Consider the following 22,658-nt stretch of genomic DNA (forward strand, 5'->3'; position numbering starts at 1 on the left):
GGTTTCAAAGAACACTTTTATTTCTGCCTTCATTTCATTATGTACCCAGTAGTCATTCAGGAGCAGGTTGTTCAGTTTCCATGTAGTTGTGCAGTTTTGAGTGAGTTTCTTAATCCTGAGTTCTAATTCGATTGTAGTATGGTCTGAGAGACAGTTTGTTGTGATTTCTGTTCTTTTATATTTGCTGTGGAGTGTTTTACTTCCAGTTATGTGGTCAATTTTAGAATAATTGTGATGTGGTGCTGAGAAGAATGTATTTTCTGTTGATTTGGGGTGTGGAGTTCCGTAGATGTCTTTTAGGTCCGTTTGGTCCAGAGCTGAGTTCAGGTCCTGGATATCCTTGTTAACCTTCTGTCTCATTGATCTGTCTAATATTGATAGTGGGATGTTAAAATCTCCCATTATTATTGTGTGGGAGTCTTAGTCTCTTTGTAGGTGTCTAAGGACTTGCTTTATGAATCTGGATGCTCCTGTATTGGGTGCATATATATTTAGGATAGTTAAGTCTTCCTGTTGAATTGATCCCTTTACCACTGTGTAATGCCCTTCTTTGTCTCTTTTGATCTTTGTTGCTGTAAAGTCTGTTTTATCAGAGACTAGGATTGCAACCCCTGCTTTTTTTTTGCTTTCCATTTGTTTGGTAGATCTGCCTCCTTCCCTTTATTTTGAGCCTATGTGTGTTTTTGCACGTGAGATGGGTCTCCTGAATACAGCACACTGATGGGTGTTGACTCTTTCTCCAATTTGCCAGTCTGTGTCTTTTAATTGTGGCATTTAGCCCATTTACATTTAAGGTTAATATTGTTATGTGTGAATTTGATCCTGTCATTTTGCTGTTAGCTGGTTATTTTGCCTGTTAACTGATGCAGTTTCTTCATAGCGTCAATGGTCTTTACAATTTGGCATGTTTTTGCAGTGGCTGGTACTGATTGTTCCTTTCCATGTTTAGTGCTTCCTTTAGGAGCTCTTGTAAGGCAGACCTGGTGGTGACAAAATCTCTCAGCATTTGGTTGTCTGTGAAGGATTTTACTTCTCCCCCACATATGAAGCTTAGTTTGGCTGGATATGAGATTCTGGGTTGAAAATTCTTTTCTTTAAGAGTGTTGAATATTGGCCCCCACTCTCTTCTGGCTTGTGTGGTTTCTGCCAAGAGATCCACTGTTAGTCTGATGGGCTTCCCTTTGTGGGTAACCGGACCTTTCTCTCTGACTGCCCTTAACATTTTTTCTTTCATTTCAACCTTGGTGAATCTGACAATTATGTGTCTTGGAGTTGCTCTTCTCGAGGAGTATCTTTGTGGTGTTCTCTGTATTTCCTGAATTTGAATGTTGGCCTGCCTTGCTAGGTTAGGGAACTTCTCCTAGATAATATCCTGAAGAGTGTTTTCTAACTTAGTTCCATTCTCCCCGTCACTTTCCAGTACACCAATCAAATGTATATTTGGTCTTTTCACATAGTCCCATATTTCATGGAGGCTTTGTTGATTTCTTTTCACTCTTTTTTCTCTAATCTTGTCTTCTCACTTTATTTCATTAATTTGATCTTCGGTCGCTGATATCCTTTCTTCCACTTGGTCAAATCGGCTATTGAAGATTGTGCATGCATCATGAAGTTCTCATGCCGTGGTTTTCAGCTCCATCAGGTCATTTAAGGTCTTCTCGACACTGTTTATTCTAGTTAGCCATTCATCTAACCTTTTTTCAAGGTTTTCAGCTTCCATGTGATGGGTTAGAACATGCTCCTTTTGCTTGGAGAAGTTTGTTATTACCGACCTTCTGAAGCCTACTTCTGTCAACTCATCAAACTCATTCTCTGCCCAGTTTTGTTCCATTGCTGCTGAGGAGCTGCAATCCTTTGGAGGAGAAGAGGCGCTCTGGTTTTCGGAAGTTTCTGCTTTTCTGCTGTGGTTTCTCCCTGTCTTTGTGGTTTTATCTACCTTTGTTCTTTGATGTTGGTGACCTACAGGTGGCATTTTGGTGTGGATGTCCTTTTTGTTGATGTTGATGCTATTTCTTTCTGTTTGTTAATTTTCCTTCTAACAGGCCCCTTAACTGCAGGTCTGTTGGGGTTTGCTGGAGGTCCACTCCAGACCCTCTTTGCCTGGGCATCACCAGCAGAGGCTGCAGAACAGTAAATATTGCTGCCTGATCCTTCATCTGGAAGTTTCATCCCAGAGGGGCACCCGCCTGTTTGAGGTGTCTGTCGGTCCCTACTGGGAGGTGTCTCCCAGTCAGGCTACACGGGGTTTTGGGACCCGCTTGAGGAGGTAGTCTGTCCCTTCTCGGAGGTCGAATGCCATGCTGAGAGAACCGCTGCTGTCTTCATAGTTGTCAGACAGGGACGTTTAAGTCTGCAGATGCTGTCTGCTGCCTTTCATTCTGCTATGCCCTGCCCCCAGAGGTGGAATCTAGAGAGGCAGTAGGCCTTGCTGAACTGTGGTGGGCTCTGCCCAGTTTGAGCTTCCAGGCCACTTTGTTTACACTGTGAGCTACTCAAGCCTCAGCAATGGCAGATGCCCCTCCCCCTGTCAAGCCACAACGTCGCAGGTTGATCTCAGACTGCTGCGCTAGCAGTGAGCAAGGCTCCGTGGGCGTGAGACCTGGTGAGCCAGGCATGGGAGGGTATCTCCTGGTCTGCCGGTTGCAAAGACCATGGGAAAAGTGCAGTATTTGGTCAGGAGTGTACTGTTTCTTCAGGTACAGTCTCTCATGGCTTCCCTCGGCTAGGAAAAGGAAATCCCCCGTCCCCTTGCACTTCCCAGGTGAGGCAACGCCCTGCCCTGTTTCAGCTCACCGTCCATAGGCTGCACCCACTGTCCAACCAGTCCCAATGAGATAAAGCAGGTACCTCAGTTGGAAATGCAGAAATCACATATCTTCTGCATCCATCTCGGTGGGAGCTACAGACTGGAGCTGTTCCTATTTAGCCATCTTGGAAGCGACCCTTAATTTTTGGATTTTTTTCTGAGACAGATTCTCGCTCTCTTGCCCAGTCTGGAGTGCAGTGGTGCAACCTCAGCTCACTGTAACCTCTGCCTCCCGGGCTCAAGCGATTTTCCTGCCTTAGCCTCCTGAGTAGCTGGGATTACAGGCATGCACCACTACCCTTGCATAATTTCTGTATTTTTAGTAGATATGTGGTTTTGCCATGTTGGCCAGGCTGGTCTCAAACTCCTGACCTCAAGTGATCTGCCTGCCTCAGCCTCCCAGAGTGCTGAGATTATAGGCCACTGCACCTGGCTGAATATTTTTTTTTTTTTTGAGCCTGTCTCTGAGTACTTTTTTCATGTAGGGCTCTTGGTGGCAAATTTTTTTAGTTTTAGAAAGCCTCAAATAGCTTTATCTTCATATTTGCTTTGAAAGTTTAGATGAATATAAATATCCAGATTTTAAATTTAAAGAAATTGCTCCCGTTATCTTCCAGTATTACATTCAATGTAGATAAAGTCAGTAAGAGTCTGATTCTCATCCCTTGCTTAATGATGAATTTTTTCTTTCTCTGAGGCATTTAGAATTTTTTAATCCTTATTATAAAATTTTCAGCAGAATGTTTAGATGTAAATCTTTTCTTACTAATCTTACTCAGCATTTCATGAAACCTTCCCATATGAAGGTGCATGTCTTATTTCAGCGTAGGGGCATTTTCTTAAGTTATTTTATGTCATTACCTTTGTTGTTTGTATCTTTTGCACTTCCTATTTGAGCAGCTTTCAACTGTTAGGACATGGTCTCCGTGTTTTAAATCTATTTGTTTGTACTTTACATTTCTTGGTCTTTCTCATTGCTGTTCTCAGAGATTTCTTTGAATTTATCTTCCAGGTTTAAAAACTTGGTCTAGGGCAGGGCACAGTGGCTCACGCTTGTAATCCAAGTGCTTTGGGAGGCTGAGGCTGGTGGATCACTTGAGCCCAGGTGTTGTGACCAGCCTGGGCAACATGGTGGAACCCCATCTCTACTAAAGATACAAAAAATAAAAAATTAGCCAGGCATGCCTGTAGTCCCAGCTTCCCAGCAGGCTGAGGTGGGAGGATCATCTGAGCACAGGAAGGTTGAGGCTGCAGTGAGCTGTGTTCATGCCACTGTACTGCAGCCTGGGCGACAGAGTTAGAACCTTTCTCAAATAAACAATAATAAAATAAAAGCTTGGTCCTATACAGCATCGAATTTTAATTTCACCCATACAGTAAATTTTTCAGTGATCATATTTTTAATTTTCAAGATTTCTTGTTCTCCAGTTGTTTATTTCTTCATAGACTTTTCTTGTTTTAAGTCTGTCATATTCTTAATCTTCCTGAGGATACCAAATCGAGATTTTGCTTGTTTTAATTCTTTCCAGTTCTATTAGTCCATTTTCACACTGCTGATAAAGACATACCCGAGACTGGGCAATTTACAAAAGAAAGAAGTTTATTGGACTTACAGTTCCACATGGCTGGGAAGGCCTCACAATCATGGCAGAAGGCAAGGGAGAGCAAGTCACATCTTATGTGGATGGCAGCAGGTAAAGATATTGTGCAGGGAAATGCGCGTTTTTAAAACTATCAGATCTCATGAGACCCATTCACTGTCATGAGAACAGCACAGGAAAGACATGCCCCCATAATCCAGTCATTTCCCACTGGGTCCCTCCCACAACACGTGGGAATTATGGGAGCTAGAAGATGAGATTTGTGTGGGGACACAGAGTCAAACCATGTTATTCCACCCCTGGCCCCTCCCAAATCTCGTATCTTCACATTCAGAACCAATCATGCCTTCCCAACAGTCCCCTGGGGTGTTAATTTATTTCAGCATTAACTTAAAAGTCCACAGTCCAAAGTCTCATCCAGGACAAGGCAAGTCCCTTCTGCCTATGAGCCTGTAAAATCAAAAGCTAGTTAGTTACTTCCTAAATACAATGGGGGTACAGGCATTGGGCAAATACAGCCATTCCAAATGGGAGAAATTGGCCAAAACAAAGGGGCTACAGGCCCTATGCAAGTCTGAAATTCAGCGGGGAAGTCAAATCTTAAAGCTCCAAAATGGTATCTTTTGACTCCATGCCTCACATCCAGGTCACACTGATGCAAGAGGTGGGTTCCCATGGTCTTGGGCACCTCCTCCCCTGTGCTTTGCAGGGTACAGCCTCCCTCCCAGCTTCTTTCACAGGCTGACATTGAGTGTCTGTGGCATTTCCAGGCATATGGTGCAAGCTCTAGGTGGATCTACCATTCTGGGGTCTGGAGGACTGTGGCCTTCTTCTCACAGTTCCACTAGATGGTGCCCCAGTAGGGACTCTGTGTGGGGGCTGTGACCCCACATTTCCCTTCTGTACTGCCCTAGCAGAGGTTCTCCATGAGAGCTCTGCCCTGTAGCAAATTTCTGCCTGGACATCCAGTTATTTCCATACATCTCTGCAATCTAAGCGGAGGTTCCCAAACCTCAGTTCTTGACTTTTGTGTACCTGCAGGCTCAATACCACATGGAAGCTGCCAAGGCTTGGGGCTTGCATCCTCTGAAGCCACAACCTGAGCTGTACCTTGGCCCCTTTTAGTCATGGCTAGAGCTGCTGGGACACAGGGCACCAAGTCCCTATGCTACACACAGCGGGGGTCTACAGGCCTGGCCCATGAAACCACTTTTTCCTCCTTGGCCTCCCGGGGTGTGTTGGGAGGGGCTGCCATGAAGACCTCTGACATGCCTGGAGACATTTTCCCCATTGTCTTGGGGATTAACATTCAGCTCCTCGTTTTTAATGCAAATTTCTGCACCTGGCTTGAATTTCTCCTCAGAAAATGGGATTTTCTTTTCTATCACACTGTCAGGCTGCAAATTTTCCAAACTTTTATACTCTGTTTCCATTATAAAACTGAGTGCCTTTAACAGCACCCAAGTCACCTCTTGAATTATTTTCTGCTTAGAAATTTCTTCTCCCAGATCATCCTCTGCCTAAATCACCTCTCTCTAGTTCAAAGTTCCACAAATCTCTAGGGTGGGGCAAAATGCTGCCAGTTTATTTGCTAAAACAAAGCAAGAGTCACCTTTGCTCCAGTTTCCAACAAGTTCCTCATTTCCATCTGAGACCACCTCAGCCTGGACCTTATTGTTCATATCACTATCAGCATTTTTGTCAAAGCCATTCAACATGTCTGTAGGAAGTTCCAGACTTTCTCACATTTTCCTGTCTTCTGAGCCCTCCAAACTGTTGCAACCTCTGTCTGTTTCCCAGTTCCAAAGTTGCCTCCACTTTTTCAAGTATCTTTCCAGCAACACCCCACTCCTGGTACCAATTTACTGTATTAGTCCATTTTCACACTGCTGATAATGACATACCCGAGGCTGGGCAGTTTACAAAAGAAAGAGGTTTACTGGACTTACAGCTCCACATGGCTGGGGAGGCCTCACAATCATGGCAGAAGGCAAGGAGGAGCAAGTCACATCTTATGGGGATGGCAGCAGGCAAAGACAGAGATTGTGCTGGGAAACTCCCGTTTTTAAAACCATCAGATTTCATGAGACTCATTCACTATCATGAGAACAGCACAGGAAAGACCTGCCCCCATAATTCAGTCATCTCTCACCAGGTCCCTCCCACAACATGTGGGAATTACGGGAGCTACAAGAAAAGATGTGGCTGGGGACACAGAGCCAAATCATATCACCAGTGAATTGTATTTTTATCCACTTCCTCTATGGTACTTGTTCTGTTGGTTTTCTCAGTCTTCTCTTTCATACTGTCATTTTTCCTTATGTGTCCTCAAATTTTTCTTTAATGTGTTTGCTACTCATATATCTGACTGGAACATTACTCGAGTTATTATAATAGCAAGGATGAATTTCCAGTAGCTCAATAGGTCCTTTTTCTAGCAGACTCCTCCACTGAAGTTAAAAAATTTCTGGTGACCTCATTTTTTAACATTCACTATGTTATTAATATAACCATTTTCCGATGCCAAAAATTCTAACATACTAATTTTATTGGTTGCATAGTTTTTCATCATAGTACTGTTTACTCTTTCTCTTATTATTGGATATTTGATTTTTTCCAGCTTTTCATTAAATAACATCAAGAACACATTTGTACATGTATTTCTTCATGTATCTCTGATGGTTTTCATAGTGTTAATTCCTAGAGTGAAATTTATAGGTCATGAAAGATTTCTAATAGACATTGCTAAATTGTCTTTTGGAAGATTGTAACAAGTCTCTGTCTCATAAAAATACCCTTTCCCCGCAGCACTCTTGATAATGGCAGATCATGTTCTTTTTAATCTCTGCTAACTTAGCAATATACATATTACAATATATATATAGAATGTGAATATTTTCCTGTTTGAATTTACATATTTGGGTGTTTTCATGAGTTTCTTTTGTGAATTGACTCTTTATGTTCTTTGCCTGTTTTTCTGTTCACCATTTTGTTTCGCTTTGTCAGACTTTATTTTGGGAATGTTAAGTGCTCATTATAATTACTGTAAGTTTTTTCTCAGTTTGTGGTTTGCCTTTAACTTTTTTATTATGTGTCTTTTGCTAAATATATGTTTTGATGACATATATGTAAAGCCACCCACTCACCTGTCCAGAGATTAAATTTCATCTATATAGCTTGGTATGTTTATGATTTCTAGTTTTACATTAAACTTTTAAATCCATGTACATTTATGTTGGAATATGGCTTATATAGGGACACATCTTTGTTTTTTCTGAAATAACTAATTAGCTAGCATCTTTTTCATTGACTGGTAGTTCATCCTTTCCCTATTAATTTGAAATCTCACCTCTGTCATATACAAAATGTTTTTTATAAATATGTGTGTGTATCTGCCTAGAAATAACTTGTCCAGGCACATCTTACAATTCTTGACATTTCTAACAAGACCACTCTGTTACTTTACTGTTTTAGAAAGCACTTAAGTATAATGCTTAATCTACTGTATTAAAACTGTATACAACAGCCAGGCATGGTGGCTCATGCCTGTAATCTCAGCATTTTGGGAGGCTAAGGCAGGAGGATCATTTGAACCCAGGAGTTCAACAACAGCCCAGGCAACATAGTGAGACCTTGACTCTACAAAAAATTTAAAAATTAGCTTGGTGTGGTGGCATGCGCCAGTGGTCCCAGATATTCAGGAGTCTGAGGTGGGCACTCGCTTGAGCCTGGGAGGTTGAGGCTGCAGTGAGCTGTTATCACTGCCACTGCACTCCAGCCTGGGTGACAGATCAAGAGCCTGTCTCAAAAACAAAAAACAAAACAAAAAACTGTATCCAGTGCTTGTGTATTATCCTAATTTCTAAAAATCAATGACCCCCCAAAATATTTCCCTCATCAGAATGTTCTGTTATCAGCCAAAGATTTCTTTCTGTCAGCTCACATCCTGCCACAATAAAGGCAAACAGTGGTAGACAGGGTGAACCATTGTGATTCTGAAGCATTCTAAGTGGTTTCAGGGATATGAAAGTTTCATCATCCTGTTTTGTGGTAGGGGAAAAGGAAATATTGTTAAAGTAAACATTGAAATTTGAGGTAAATACCAGTATTCGAACTTTGAAAAAGTAGCCAGAATGTTCCTAAGGTGGCAACATTTCAGAAATTATACAATTTCTCAATGCCGCTAGTTATTGGAACAGTTCTAAGGCTCTGCCCATGTGTTGACATCACATTCCATCTCCCTTGTTCTTATAGGGCTTCAGCCACACAGCTGGTTAAGGTGCAATTTGACCATGACTTTCTTAAGAAATGAAAGGTACATTATGGTGCTGTAGGTCAAATGTGAAGTATGTGTCCTATTTTGTGAACTATTGTAGCAAAACTAAATCAATGAAGGGATTTTGCTGAGAAAGTAGTTACCAGCATTCACAAAGCTGGCTACTGGGTGAAAAACCTGAATTCTGAGTTTTGCAATTAACTGCATAACACTGAGTATTACCTAATAATGATTCCTTTGTTTTTTTCAGTTCCTTTTGCATTATATAGGTGTTTTCCCAAATGTGTTCTGAAAGACATTATTGCTGCAAGGTGCTCTGGAAGACATTTCAGGGACCATGGTTAAATCAGTTAAAGAAAAGCTGTGTACTAGATCCTTCTCTAAGAAATGCACTGGCTGGGCACGGTGGCTCATGCCTGTAATCCCAGCACTTAGGGAGGCCAAGGCAGGCAGATCACTTGAGGTTTAGAGTTCAAGATCAGCCTAGCCAAAATGGTGAAACCCTGCCTCTACTAAAAATACAAAAAATGTTAGCCAGGTGTGGTGGCATGCACCTGTAGTCCCAGTTACTTGGGAGGCTGAGGCTATAGAATCACTTGAGCCCAGGAGGCAGAGGTTGTAGTGAGCCGAGAGCATGCCACTGCACTCCAGCCTGGGCAATGGGAATGAAACCCTGTCCAAAAAAAAAAAAGCACAATATGTAGTCTCATACTAAAGGCTTTAAGAAGTCTTACAGAAAAGAAATTTAAATCTTTTGGATCTATTTCTTGACATCTGTAGGAACTGTTTCATAAAATCTACTTTAGGAACCTGTATTAGCTGCTGTCCAAGGTATCAAACGTCTATAATTCTAGTTCCAGTAAAAAGTTGTATATAAATAACTTACTTTATATGTAGTACTTTAATTTGTAATATCAGTATGGAATCTTCTTAAGGAAACACTGAAAAAAACCTTTAATTGTACAAGATCTTTGTACAGTATCATGGACTTTTAAACACAGAAACACAGAGAAGTATTGTTTTGTCCTGTGAATACCAAAACTTTGATTTGGATTTATTAGTGAGAAAAAAGCAGGATCAAACGTTTCCCTACTTTTTAGGAGTTCTGTGCAATACCTCAAATTCTATCCAGAATGTTCCTACAAAGTACAGTATGATGTTAGACACTCTTTACATCCAACATGTTTTCTTTTGTTTAATTTAATTTGAGCTATTATTGGCTCAAAATATATAGATTCTTAGTGATCTTTTATATTTATTGTTCATAAAATAATGTTCGGCTTCCTAATAAGAAAGTGAAGAGGAAAATCAAGGTGTTTTCATCTTGCTTGTAGGATGGGTGCTGCAGACAATATATATAAAGGACAGAGTACATTTATGGAAGAACTGACTGACACAGCAGAAATAATCAGAAAAGCAACATCACAGTCCTTGGTTATCTTGGATGAACTAGGAAGAGGGACGAGCACTCATGATGGAATTGCCATTGCCTATGCTACACTTGAGTATTTCATCAGAGATGTAAGTATCCGGTAAACTGTATTTAAAAAGAAATTAATTTGTAAATTATTATTTTTAAATGACAGTCATAATTGTGCCATATTTATGGGGTACAATGTGATGTTTTGAAACATATAAACAATATGGAGTGATTAAATTAACCTAATTAACACATTCCTCACCTCATTTAAATATCATTTTTTGTGGTGAGACATTTGAAATTTCTCTTAGTTATTTTGAAATATATATTATTACTGCTGTAGTCATAATACCGTTATGCAATCCCTGCATACCCTTTTGTACATGGATGATACATATTATACACATTATTTTCCTGATCTCAGTCTCCAAATACTCAAAATTATCTTTTTTATAATTGACTGCAGTCCTGCAAGTGATCATTAGAATGCTACACACTGAATTCAGACAGATTGACCCTAAATAATGTTTGTAGTTTTTTGATATATGTTCCTTTTTTTGCTGACTCAACATAAATCTGGTTGTACGAAAAAGGCCTTCCTGGCAATATTTTCACTCAGAATTATATCTTATTATCCTTGGTGAACCCTAAATCAAGAACAGGTACCATCCATCTACAGCCAAATTCCTCGAGGGAAAAACAAGGAAATAGTGCCATTTCCACTTTGTGAAATCCTTTTTTTCACCAACATCCTGAAGGATCTCACTGTGAGATCTTTGATCTCATCTCTTTGTGTTTCTATCTGATTCAGTAACATCATTCCTTCAATACATGTCTCCTTTTTTTCAGGGTGCATTTCTAAGCTTCAGTGTAAAATTTTGTTTGTGTCAAACTTTCTATCCCTGTCATTTCCATCTAACTCTCTCCTTTAGTTTACTTTCTCTATCTTGTTCATTTTGGTCTCTGCTTTTCAAATCTCCCCTTCATGGCACCTCTCCTTAGGTCTTTCCCTTCTCTGGTCTTTCTTTCTGTTTTCCCCCCCATTTTCTTGCTCCTTTGTCATTGTGTCTTCCCTCATTTTCATTTCTTTCTCTCTTCCTTAAATAGCCAATAAAATCATATTTTTAATATTTCTTTTCAAAAAGCAACACAAAAATAAAATGTATTTTTCTTTAACCTTTTGTTGCCATTGGTGTTTTGGGGTTTAGTTTTGTTTTTAAAGCTTAATTTCCATTTAATTTTTTTCCAGAAGATAGTTTTTCTTCAGTCTTTAGAGACTCAGCTCCATGAACAGGCTTTGATGGAGATCATGGGGCAGCATCCTCAGATCTAAATTGGAGCAGAGTTGTTTGGTCCTCTAGGCTTCATGAGAATGATTCCTGACTACCTTGCTGTGAGCGGCAGAACTTGTGCAGTAATACAGTTTCATACACTGTTTGGGAAGCACAGAGACATCAACGACACTCAATTTGGAAATGTCCCTGACAGCTGTACCTTCTACTATATTTCAAATGACAAACTTCTAAATAGCCTTGTCCTTAGGTGTGCATCCAACACAGTTTGTGCAGCAAATAGGTTGTACCTAGCTATGGCCCTTTTTGGCACAACCGTTGTTGTTGTTCCTCCTCCTCCTCTTCTTTCTCTTCCTCCTCCTCCTCTTTTTTTTTTTTTTTTTTTTTTTCTTTTTTGAAATGGGTTCACTCTGTCACTCAGGCTGCAGTGCAGTGGCATGATCATGGCTCACTGCAGCCTCGACCTACCTGGGCCCAGGTGATCCTTCCACTTCGGCCTCCCGAGTAGCTGGGACTACAGGCACACACCAACCATACCCAGCTAATTTTTGTATTCTTTTAGGAATGGAGTTTCACCGTGTTGCTCAGGCTAGTCTTGAACTTTCAGGCTCCAGTGATCCACCTGCCTTGGCTTCCCAAAGTTCTGGGATTATAGGCATGAGTTACCATGCCCAGCCTCCCTTCTTTTCTTTGTTATTTTGGCAGTGAAGACCCAAGAGTGACTCAGGTTTTGTTTAAACATTTATTTAGATTACATAGGTAATTATAACATTTTGTTTTTTTTAAGGAATTTTTTGTTTTGCTTTAAAAAATTTATTTGCAAAAAGATGTAACTCAGAAACTTTAATCATTATAGAAACTACGTAGGAAATGATGAGTTCATGTCCTTTATAGGGACATGGATGAAGCTGGAAACGATCATTCTCAGCAAACTATCGCAAGGACAAAAAACCAAACACCGCATGTTCTCACTCATAGGTGGGAGTTGAACAATGAGAACACATGGGCACAGGAAGGGGAACATCACAAACTGGGGCCTGTTGTGGGGTGGGGGGAGGGGGGAGGGATAGCATTAGGAGATATACCTAATGTTAAATGACGAGTTAATGGGTGCAACACACCAACATGGCACATGTATACAAATGTAACTGACCTGCACATTGTGCACATGTACCCTAAAACTTAAAGTATAATAATAATAAAAAAAAGAAACTACATAGGAAAGCAATTGACTTTTGTACATTAACCTTGGATCCTGCAACCTTGCTGTAATCACTTACTAATTCCAGTCTGTGTGTATGTTTGCCAATTCTTTTGAATTTCCTACATAGGCAGTCATGTCAGATACAAACAGACAGTTTCACTTCTTTCTTCCCCATCTATTTTTTTTTTCTTGTCTTATTGCAGTAACTAGGACTTTCAGTACAGTGTTGAAAAAGCAGTAAGAAAGGATATCGTTGCCTTGTTTCTGATCTTAGTGGGAAAGCTTTGAGTTTCTCACCGTTAAGTATGATGTTAGCTAGAGGTTGTTTGTGGATATTCCTTACCAAATTGAGGAAGTTCTCCTCTATTCCTAGTTTACTGAGAGTTTTTATTGAATGGGTGTTAGATTTTGTCAAATGCTTTCTGTGCATCTATTGATATGGTCATGTGATTTTTCTTCTTTAGCCTGTTGATGTGATGGATTACGTTAACTGGTGTTCAAATGTTGAATGAGTCTTACACACTTGGGATGAGTCCTACTTGGTTATGGTCTGTTTTTCTTTTTATACATTGTTGGATTCATTTTGCTAATATTTTATTGAGGATTTTTGCATCTATGTTTATGAGAGATACTGGTTTATAGTTTTCTTATAATGTCTTTGGTTTTAGTATTAAGGTAATGCTGGCCTCATAGAATGAGTTAGAAAGTATTTACTCCACTCCTGTCCTCTGAAAAAGACTATAGAGAATTGGTAAAATATCTTCCTTAAACATTTGGTGGAGTTCACCAGTGAAGCCATCTGGGCCTATGATTTTGGTTTTAGAAGGCCATTGACTCAAGTTCTTCAATAGATATAGACCTATTCAGAATTTCTGTTTTTTTTCTTGTGTGAGTTTTGGCTCATTGTGTCTTTTAAGGAATTGTTTTTCAAGAAATTTTCACCAAGGTTACCAGATTTGTGGACATAGAGTTGGTCATAGTATTCCTTTATTATCCTTTTATTTGTCCACGGCATCCGTAGTGTTGTCCTTTTCATTTCTGATATTAGCCATTTGTGTCTTTTCTCTTTTGTTCTTAGTTAGCTTGACTAGAAGCTTATCAGTTTTCTTTTCAAAGAACCAGCTTTTGGTTCTATTGATTATTTTCCCCATTGCTTTCTTGTTTTAATTTCATTGATTTCTGCTCTAATTTTTATTATCTCTTTTCTTTTGCTTATTTTTGCTCTTCTCTTTCTGGTGTCCTAAGATAGAAGCTTAGATTGTTTATTTTAAATTGTTCTTTTTTTCTAATGTGTTCAGTGCTATAAATTTTCTTTTTTTATTCTTTCTTTTCTTTCCATTTTTTCTTTTTTGAGACAGGGTCTTGCTCTGTTACCCAGGCTGGACTGCAGTGGCATGAACATAGCCCACTGCAACCTCGACTCCCTGGGCTCAAGTGATCCTTCTGCCTCAGCCTCCCATGTAGCTGGGACTACAGGCACATGCCACAACACCCAGCTAATTTCACTTTTATTTTTTATAGAGATTGGGGTCTCACTATGTTGCCCAGGCTGGTCTCGTATTCTTGGACTCCAGTGATCCTCTTGCCTTGGCCTCCCAAAGTGCTGGGATTACAGGTGTGAGCCACCGCTCCTGGCCTATAAATTTTCTTCTATGCACTGCTTTTGGTGCGGTTCCACAAATTTTGATAAGGTGTGCTTCCTGTTTTTACTTAGTTCCAAATATTTTAAATTTCTCTTTATTTCTTTTTTGACCCATATGTTTTTTAAGAATGTGTTGTTTAGTCTCCATGTATTTGGGGATTTTCCAGTTACCTTTTTGTTATGATTCCTAGTTTAATTCCATTGTGGTATGAGATCAAATATTGTATGATTTTTATTATATTAAATTTGTCAACATGTGTTTTATGGCCCAAAATGTGGTCTTTCTTGGTGAATGTTCCATGTTAGCTTGAGATGAATGTGTATTCAGCTGTTGGTTGAAGTATCTATAGATATAAATGATGTCTAGTTGATTGATGGTGTTGTTGAGTTCAGCTGTGTCCTTACTGATTTTCTGCCTGCTGGATCTGTCTGTTTCAGATGGAGGAATTTTGATATCTCTAACTATAGTAGTATGTTCATCTGTTTCTCTTTGTAGTTCTATCAGCTTTTGCCTCATGTAGTTTGACATTCTCTTGTTAAATGCATACATGTTAAGGATATTATGTCTTCTTGGACATAAGACATAATATCCTTTATCATTTTATCATTATCCCTTTATCATTATATAATATCCTTCTTTATCCCTGACAAATTTACTTGATCTGAAGTCTGCTCTGTCTCAAATTAATATAGCTACTCTAACTTCCTTTAGAAATTAATATAGCTGCTTCAGCTTTCTTTAATGTTAACATGATGTATCTTCCTCCATATATATATATATATTTTAGATAGAGTCTCACTCTGTCACCCAGGCTGGAGTGCAGTGGTACAATCTCAGCTCACTGCAACCTCTGCCTCCCAGATTCAAGTGATTCTTGTGCCTCAGCCTCCCGAGTAGCTGGGATTACAAGTGTGTGCCACCACGCCTGGCTAATTTTTGTATTCTTTTTAAATTAAAGATGGGGTTTCACCATGTTGGCCAGGCTGGTCTTGAACTCCTGGCCTCAAGTGATCCATCTGCCTCGGCCTCCCAAAGCGCTGGGATTGCAAGTGTGAGCCACCTCACCTAGCCCCTCCATATATTTTTAATATGTAGTTATTTTTATATTTAAGGTGAGTTTCTTGTAGACAACATACAGTTAGGTCTTATTTTTTGATCCACTCTGATAATCTGTCTTTTAACTGGTGCATTTAGATCATCAGCATTCAAAGTGATTATTGATAGAGTTGGATTAATATTTACCATTTTTTACTTTTTTCTATTTGTTGTTCTTGTTCATTGTTCCTACATGTGTCTTCCACTGTTTTTCTGTCTTATGTGGTTTTAACTGAGTATTTTATATTATTTCATTTTCTCTCTTTTTTTTTTTTTTTGTTTTTTGTTTTTTGGTTTCTTGGGGTGTTTTTTGAGGTGGGATCTTACTGTGTTGCCTAGGCTGGCCTCAAACTCCCGGGCTGAAGTGACCTTCCCACCTCAGCCTCCCAGGTAGCTGGGAGTACAGGTGCATGGCACTGTGCCCAGCTATTTTCTCTCCTTTCTTAGCGTATCAGTTATATTTCTTGTTTTACTTTTTCTAGTGGTTGTCCTGGAGTTTGCAATATACGTTTGCAACTAATCCAAGTCTACTTTCAAATAACACTATATTGCTTTATGAGTAATGCACGTATTTTTTAATAACAAAATAATCCTGATTACTTTCTTCTATCCTTTGCACCATCACTGTCATTTATTTCACTTATACTTAAGTGTACATAAGCATATATATATATATAAACATACATAATCGCATACACTGTTGCTATTATTATTGTGAACAAAATGTTATGCTAGATCCACTAAAAATAAGAAAAATAAAAGTTTTTCGCCTTCACTGGTTCCTTCTTCAATGCTGCACTTTTCTTTATGTAGATACAAGTTTCTGACCCCTGTCATTTTCCTTCCTTCTAAAGAACTTTCCTTAAACATTTCAGGATAGATCTGCTGGCTACAAATCCTCAATTTTTGTTTGTCTGAGAATGTCTTTATTTCTCCTTCAGTTTTGAAGGATTATTTTGCAAGGTACAGAATTCTAGGTTGGAGAGGTTTGTTGTTTTTTTTTTTTTTTCCTCTCAAAACTTTAGATATTTTACTCCACTCTTTTCTTGCTTTTGTGGTTTCTGAGAAGTCAGATGTAATTTTTATCTTTGAGCTTGTGTGGATAAGGTGTTTCTTCCCTCTGGCTTACTTCAGTATTTTTTTTTTCTTTATCTTTGGTTTTCTGTAGTTTGAATATGATTTGTCTAGGTGTGGTTTTGGGGACATTTATCCCGTTTGGTGTTCCCTAAGCTTCCCAGATCTGTGGTTTTGTGTCTGACATTACTTTGGGGAAATTCTCAGTCATTATTGTTTTAAGTATTTCTTCTGTTTCTTTCTCTCTTTATTTTCTCTCTGGTATTCTCATTAGCTGCATGTTATATCTTTTGTAGTTGTCTCAAACTTTTTGGATATTCTGAGGTTTTTTTCTAGTCTTTTTCTGTTTGCATTTCCATTTTGGAGATTTCTATTAAGATGTCCTCAAGCTCAGAGATTCTTCCCTCAGCTGTGTCCAGTCTACCAGTAAGCTCATCAAACACATTCTTCATTTCCATCACAGTGTTTTTGATCTCTCGTTTCCTTTTGGTTTTTTCTTAGAATATGCATCTCTGTGCTTACATTGCCCATCTGTTATTGCATGCTGTCTGTGTTAACCATAGAGCCCTTAGCATACTAATCAGTTGCTTCCAATTCCCAGTCTGATAATTCCAACATTCCTGCCATAGCTATGTCTGGTTCTGATGCTTGCTCTGTCTCTTCATATTTGTGGGTTTTTACTTTTAGTATGTCTTGCGACTTTTTCTTGACAGCTGGCTATGATGTATTGGGTAAAAGGAACTGCTGTAAGTTAGGTTTTAGTAATGTGCTGGTAAGGGTCTAGGGGAGGAGTCCTATGATTAAGTCTCAGTCTTACCTCCCTCCCACCCCTCAGGTGGGATAGGAAGGCTAGAGTGGGCTGGAGTTGGGTATTTCCTTTCTCTCATATGGAAGGCTAGAGGAGACTGGAGTTGAGTCTTTCCCTTCCCCCAGGTAGGTGAGGCTTTGATAAAACCCCAGCAGGTTAGGCTCCACTTAAGTAGTTTCTTCTGAGGGCAGACCTTGTTAAGAACAGAGTGCCCTGGTGCATTTCAAAATAGTTCTTTCTTTCTTCCCCTTGCCTGAAGCATAAGGGGAATTTACTCCAGTGTTTATTGTGAGAACCAAGTGGAACTCCTGGGAGTAAAACTCACAAAAGTGTGCCCCCTTCCCCCATGACTCGGTTCCCCTGCACTTTTTGACTCTCAGACTTGTTGACACTGAGCCTCCAGCAATTGATCAGTTCCAGTTCCAGTTTTCCTACCCTGATACTGGTTCCTTCAGAGGTTTCTGCCTCCATTTCAGCTCAGGAAAGTTGTGATTCTTTGTATCTGCTTGTCTGTCTCTAACTTGGGGGACAGTGGTTTGCCTGTGACTTCATTTTTCTTACAGATCTAAAGAGTTGATTTTTCAGTTGGTTCTACTTTTTCCTTGTGATGGAGAGGTAACCTCCAACCTTCTTATATGCTAAACTGGAAACCAGAAACTTCCCTGACCTTTTTATGGATGAAAATCTTTATTTTCATGGTTCCTTCTGATCTCTGGATAGGGAAGAGAGATCAGAAAGGAGCAATAAGGGAGGTCATGTGTTGCTGCTGCAGGCCGAGAACAGCCTTGAGGAGCACAGTGTCGGATCCCAGACCCTTAGGTCTTCCGGCTAAAAGTGCCTATCAGCTTGGAGAAGGAGCACCATGGAGATAGGTGGTCCTAAGATCCCTCGGGGCAGATTTTAAGCACAGCTTTTTAAAGAAATCCTGCCTTAATACGTTTATTTGTTATTGTTATCAGAAAGAAGGCACACATTCAGACTTTTAATAAGGTGAATGGCAGGTGAATCAAAACTGGAGTTCTTTGATTTAATTACCTCCTTCTGCCAATATTTAGGCTAAGATTGGTGTTAACTTTCCTCCAGATAGAGGTTTCCAGAATATATAAAATATGCCTTAAAATAATGCTTATTAAAGAATCCATGAGACTGGGTGCAGTGGCTGATGCCTGTAATCCCAGCACTTTGGGAGGCCAAAGCAGGAGGACCCCTTGAGCCCAGGTTCAAGACCAGCCTGGGTAACATAGTGAGACCCCTCTCTACAAAAAATAAAAACAAAAAATTAGCCAGGCATAGTGGTGCACACCTGTAGTCCTAGCTACTTGGGAAGTTGAGGTGGGAGGATCCCTTGAGCCCAGGAGTTTGAGGTTATAGTAAACTATGATTGTGCCATTGCAATCTAGCCTGGATGATAGATTGAGACCCTGTCTCTAAAAAAAAAAAATTTGTTAATTCATACTGACACTAACAAAAATAAACTTTAAAATGGTGGAGGTGAGTGGGGAAAAGTGAAACCTCTGCTTTACAGAATACCAACGAATAAATGTAGGAAGAATTTTTTAATCAACATTTAATAACGACTATAATAATAACTGATTCAGACAGCAATGATCAATAGATTATAAAACCTTTGGATGAAAGATTGTTGGAGAAAAGGATATTCATATATCTCAAAGTGTCATGCCACAGGTTATTTATTAATTACAAAGGGAAAAGGTATAGTGAAGAAATCTAGTGGGTACCCTCTTCAACCAGATAATCAAATTTGGCATCCCCAGTTATGTAAAACTGATATCACGTCCCACCTGATGTGATGCACTGGGAAGGACCCATCACCTACATATACATGGAATATTCCTGGTATCGACGAAAAGAGTCAAACTCTGTAAAATATTTGAAGAGATTTATTCTGAGTCAAATATGAGTGACCATGGCCCGTGACACAGCCCTCAGGAGGTCCTGAGAACATGCGCCCAAGGTGGTCAGGGTACAGTTTGGTTTTATATATTTTAGGGAGGCATGAGACATAAATCAAATACATTTAAGAAATACATTGGTTTGGCCGGGTGCAGTGGCTCACACCTGTAATCCCAGCACTCTGGGAGGCCAAGGTGGGTGGATCACGAGGTCAGGAGATTGTGACCATCCTGGCTAACACGGTGAAACCCCGTCTCTACTAAAAAATAGAAAAAATTAGCCAGGCGTGGTGGCGGGCACCTGTAGTCCCAGCTACTCAGGAGGCTAAGGTAGGAGAATGGCGTAAACCCGGGAGGCGGAGCTTGCAGTGAGCCAAGATCGTGCCACTGGGCAACAGAGTGACACTCCGTCTCAAAAAAAAAAAAAAGAAAAGAAATACATTGGTTTGGTTCAGAAAGGTGGGACAACTCCAAGCAGGGGCTTCCAGGCTACAGGTAAATTTAAACATTTTCTGGTTGACAATTGGTTGAGTTTATGTGAAGACCTGGGATTAATGGAAAGGAATGTTCAGGTTAAGATAAAGGATTGTGGGACCAAGTTTTATTGTGCAGAGGAATCTCTCAGCAGACTTCACAGAGAGAGAAGAGGTTGTAAAATGTTTCTTATCAGACCTAAAAGGGTGCCTGGCTCTTAGTTGATTATCTCGTGGATCTGGAAAGGAAGGAAAACAAAGGGTGAAGGGGATACTCTATAGAATGTGGATTTTTCTCACAAGAGACTTTGCAGGGCAATTTAAGGCGTGGCAAGGAAATATACTCCTTGGGGTTAAATATTTTTTCCTTGTCTCATAATGTTGTGCCGGAGTCATATTGAAAAGCAAGTCACAATATACAGGGTCAAATAAAACCCATCTGATGAGAATCCATGATATGTAGGGCATGACTCCCTGGACCCCTTAGGTAGGAATTTGGGTAAGATAAAAAAATCAGAGTTTAGTCCTCACTGGCAATGATGTTTGGAGGAAATAGCAAAGTCCAAATTGAAAGACATTATGCAAAACAGCATAAGTGCCCCCTCCACCCACACTCTATTCCTGTACGAAAGGATACTTGATACTTCAAAAATGTCCATGTCATAAAAGACAAAAAAGGAAAGAGACAAAAAGAAACATTGTTGGGAGAATTAGGGAGATTTAGGAACTGTATATGTTATATAATAATAATATATTTATTGAGTGTAATAATTGTATTCTAGTTATATAGGAGGATGTTTTGTTCTTAGAAGATAGAATCTTAAATCTTTAGTGATGAAGTGTCATGATGTCTGCAACTAATTCTCAGATGGTTCAGGAAAAAATGTCTGTGTCTGTGGAGGAGGAAGAAGAAGGGAAATATGGTAAAATATTAACAATTGATTATCTAGGTAAACAGTATATAATAATTGGTCGTTGTACTTTTCTTGTGACTTTTAGGAAGATTTAAAATTTTTCAAAAGAAAGTGGAAGACAGATTTTAATTACAATAAAATTTAAAAATGAAATAACATTTATTCTGTCTTATTGCTTTAGGTGAAATCCTTAACCCTGTTTGTCACCCATTATCCGCCAGTTTGTGAACTAGAAAAAAATTACTCACACCAGGTGGGGAATTACCACATGGGATTCTTGGTCAGTGAGGATGAAAGCAAACTGGATCCAGGTATGAAATATTCCTGCAGTTGGTACAAATATTGGTTTTCATGTTTGATAACTCAAAGTTTGTTGGAACATGAACTTACTGCTTATTAATAATGAAAGCTGTGAATGTGAGCTATAAATAACATTTGTCAGGATTCATTTTTGCTAAGCTTTAGGTCAAGTAGAATTTAGATTTATCCTTGCTATCTCTGAGTCCTTCTCTGGTCTTCCTTGTCTCATTTGTCGTGGCAACCCTTTTCTCTTTTTTTACAGGAATAGGGTGTGGGTGGAGGGGGCACTTAGGTTTTCCTCTTAGTGCCTTGTACTCTTACATGATTCATCTCAGTACAGATGACAGTCACCTGCAGAGTATAATTAGTCATCTTTTAAAAACGCCCAATATTTTCCCCAAAATATCATTTAACTTACTAAGGGCCATATACTGTACTGGACATAGGTTTTTATTTTAATATTATAAGGAAACTGAATCTCAGACAGGTAAAGTGGTTTGACCATGTCAACCACTTAGATGGGGGCTAAAATGAGCCTAGAATTCACTTCTTCTGCTTCTGGGTTCTCTTCTGTTCCCCTCTGCTAGAGCTGCTATGGAGGAAATCTACAATATTTTTCCTAGTCTTTCCAGTTACTGGTGTCACAGAAATGAGACATTTTATGAAAAAGAACACCGTTAGCCAATAGCAATACATTTAAGTGCCATAAGTAATACAGTAGACTTTAGCATTTTTTTTTCTGTTCAGTAGTAATTGTTTTAAGCCACCAGCCTGTAGTCCTGTGGTGGTTTGCGCAATTGGTATGCTGCAATGGAAAATCCATCATGCAAGATACCCCAGAGTCCAGATTTTATTTTGGAAAAGTAATAGGGATGGACCTGAAAAAGAAATCAGGCAGCTGGCCCAAATAAAACAAAGCACTGGGCCTAAGATAAATGTAATGTTAGGCAGTTCCTGCTTTTCACCACCATGCAATCTTGAAAAACACATCATAAATTCTCTTATGGAAGTAGTTTTGTATCTATTAATCTGCATCCAGGTTGACAAGAGGAGACTTAAGCTAAAACCCTTGGGACAAAGAGAATAGAGTTCACCAACAGGGAAGAAGAGGAGTCAGTGCCGCTAATACGCATTTGATGTGAACTGAAAACTAACCCAGAGCATTGTACCTTTCCCTTAAATGTTCTGTGCATTTTATTTTATTGATTTTAATTTTTGTGTTTTGTTGAGATGGGGTGTCACTGTCATCCAGGCTGGAGTGCAGTGGCACGATCATAGCTCACTGCAGACACAACCTCCCAGGCCCAGGTGATCCTCCCATGTCAGCCTCCCCGGTAGCTGGGACTACAGGTGCACACCACCATGCCTGGCTGATTTTTGTATGTTCTGTAGAGACAGGCTCTCACTATGTTGCCCAGGCTGGTCTCAAACTGTTGAATTCAAGTGATCCTCCTGCCTTGGCCTCCCAAAGTGCTGGGATTACAGGGATGAGCTACCTTGCCTAGCTGATTTTAATTTTTATCAATGAACATAATTTTTAAAATTCAATGGTGCTAAAAGGCTCCTGCTGACAAGCTTCCATCCCTTCAGTTCACGTCCTTCCCCATCCTAGTCCCAAGGCAACTACTTTCAACACTTCCCCTTTCTGTTGTATTTCTAAGTAATATCCGTATTTTCATGTCTCTTGCTTCATCAAGTTGACACATTATTGATGGACCTCTCATTGTGTTAATTGAGAATCTTCAATTTTCCCTTCCTCTGTCCTTCCAGTATAGTCATTTCACATGTATTGTATGTCATTCATACTTGTTGTTTTCATTATTATTGCCATGCTAAATA

The 22,658-nt window shown here is 39.6% G+C and overlaps 1 protein-coding gene and 1 pseudogene across 1 annotated transcript in view, besides 1 other annotated feature; one reads left to right on the forward strand and one right to left on the reverse strand.

The window, feature by feature from the left end:
- The window catches only part of MSH3 (mutS homolog 3), a 222,164-nt gene that overhangs the window by 189,461 nt on the left and 10,045 nt on the right, over positions 1 to 22,658 (forward strand). The window contains exons 21-22 of the mRNA NM_002439.5: positions 10,018 to 10,204; positions 20,701 to 20,830. Of these exons, the coding sequence (NP_002430.3) occupies positions 10,018 to 10,204; positions 20,701 to 20,830 (317 nt within the window). The remainder of the gene's footprint in view (positions 1 to 10,017; positions 10,205 to 20,700; positions 20,831 to 22,658) is intronic.
- Positions 2,500 to 3,000: an enhancer, noted in NCBI's record as "H3K4me1 hESC enhancer chr5:80142431-80142931 (GRCh37/hg19 assembly coordinates)". NCBI's record gives its function as "activates a minimal SCP1, AML or CMV promoter by ChIP-STARR-seq in primed H9 embryonic stem cells {active_cell/tissue: H9 hESC(primed)}" and the evidence as "EXISTENCE:reporter gene assay evidence [ECO:0000049][PMID:30033119]".
- Positions 11,393 to 11,727, reverse strand: RPS26P27 (ribosomal protein S26 pseudogene 27; annotated as a pseudogene).

Source organism: Homo sapiens, chromosome 5, assembly GCF_000001405.40.
Source record: "Homo sapiens chromosome 5, GRCh38.p14 Primary Assembly".
Lineage (NCBI taxonomy): Eukaryota > Metazoa > Chordata > Mammalia > Primates > Hominidae > Homo > Homo sapiens.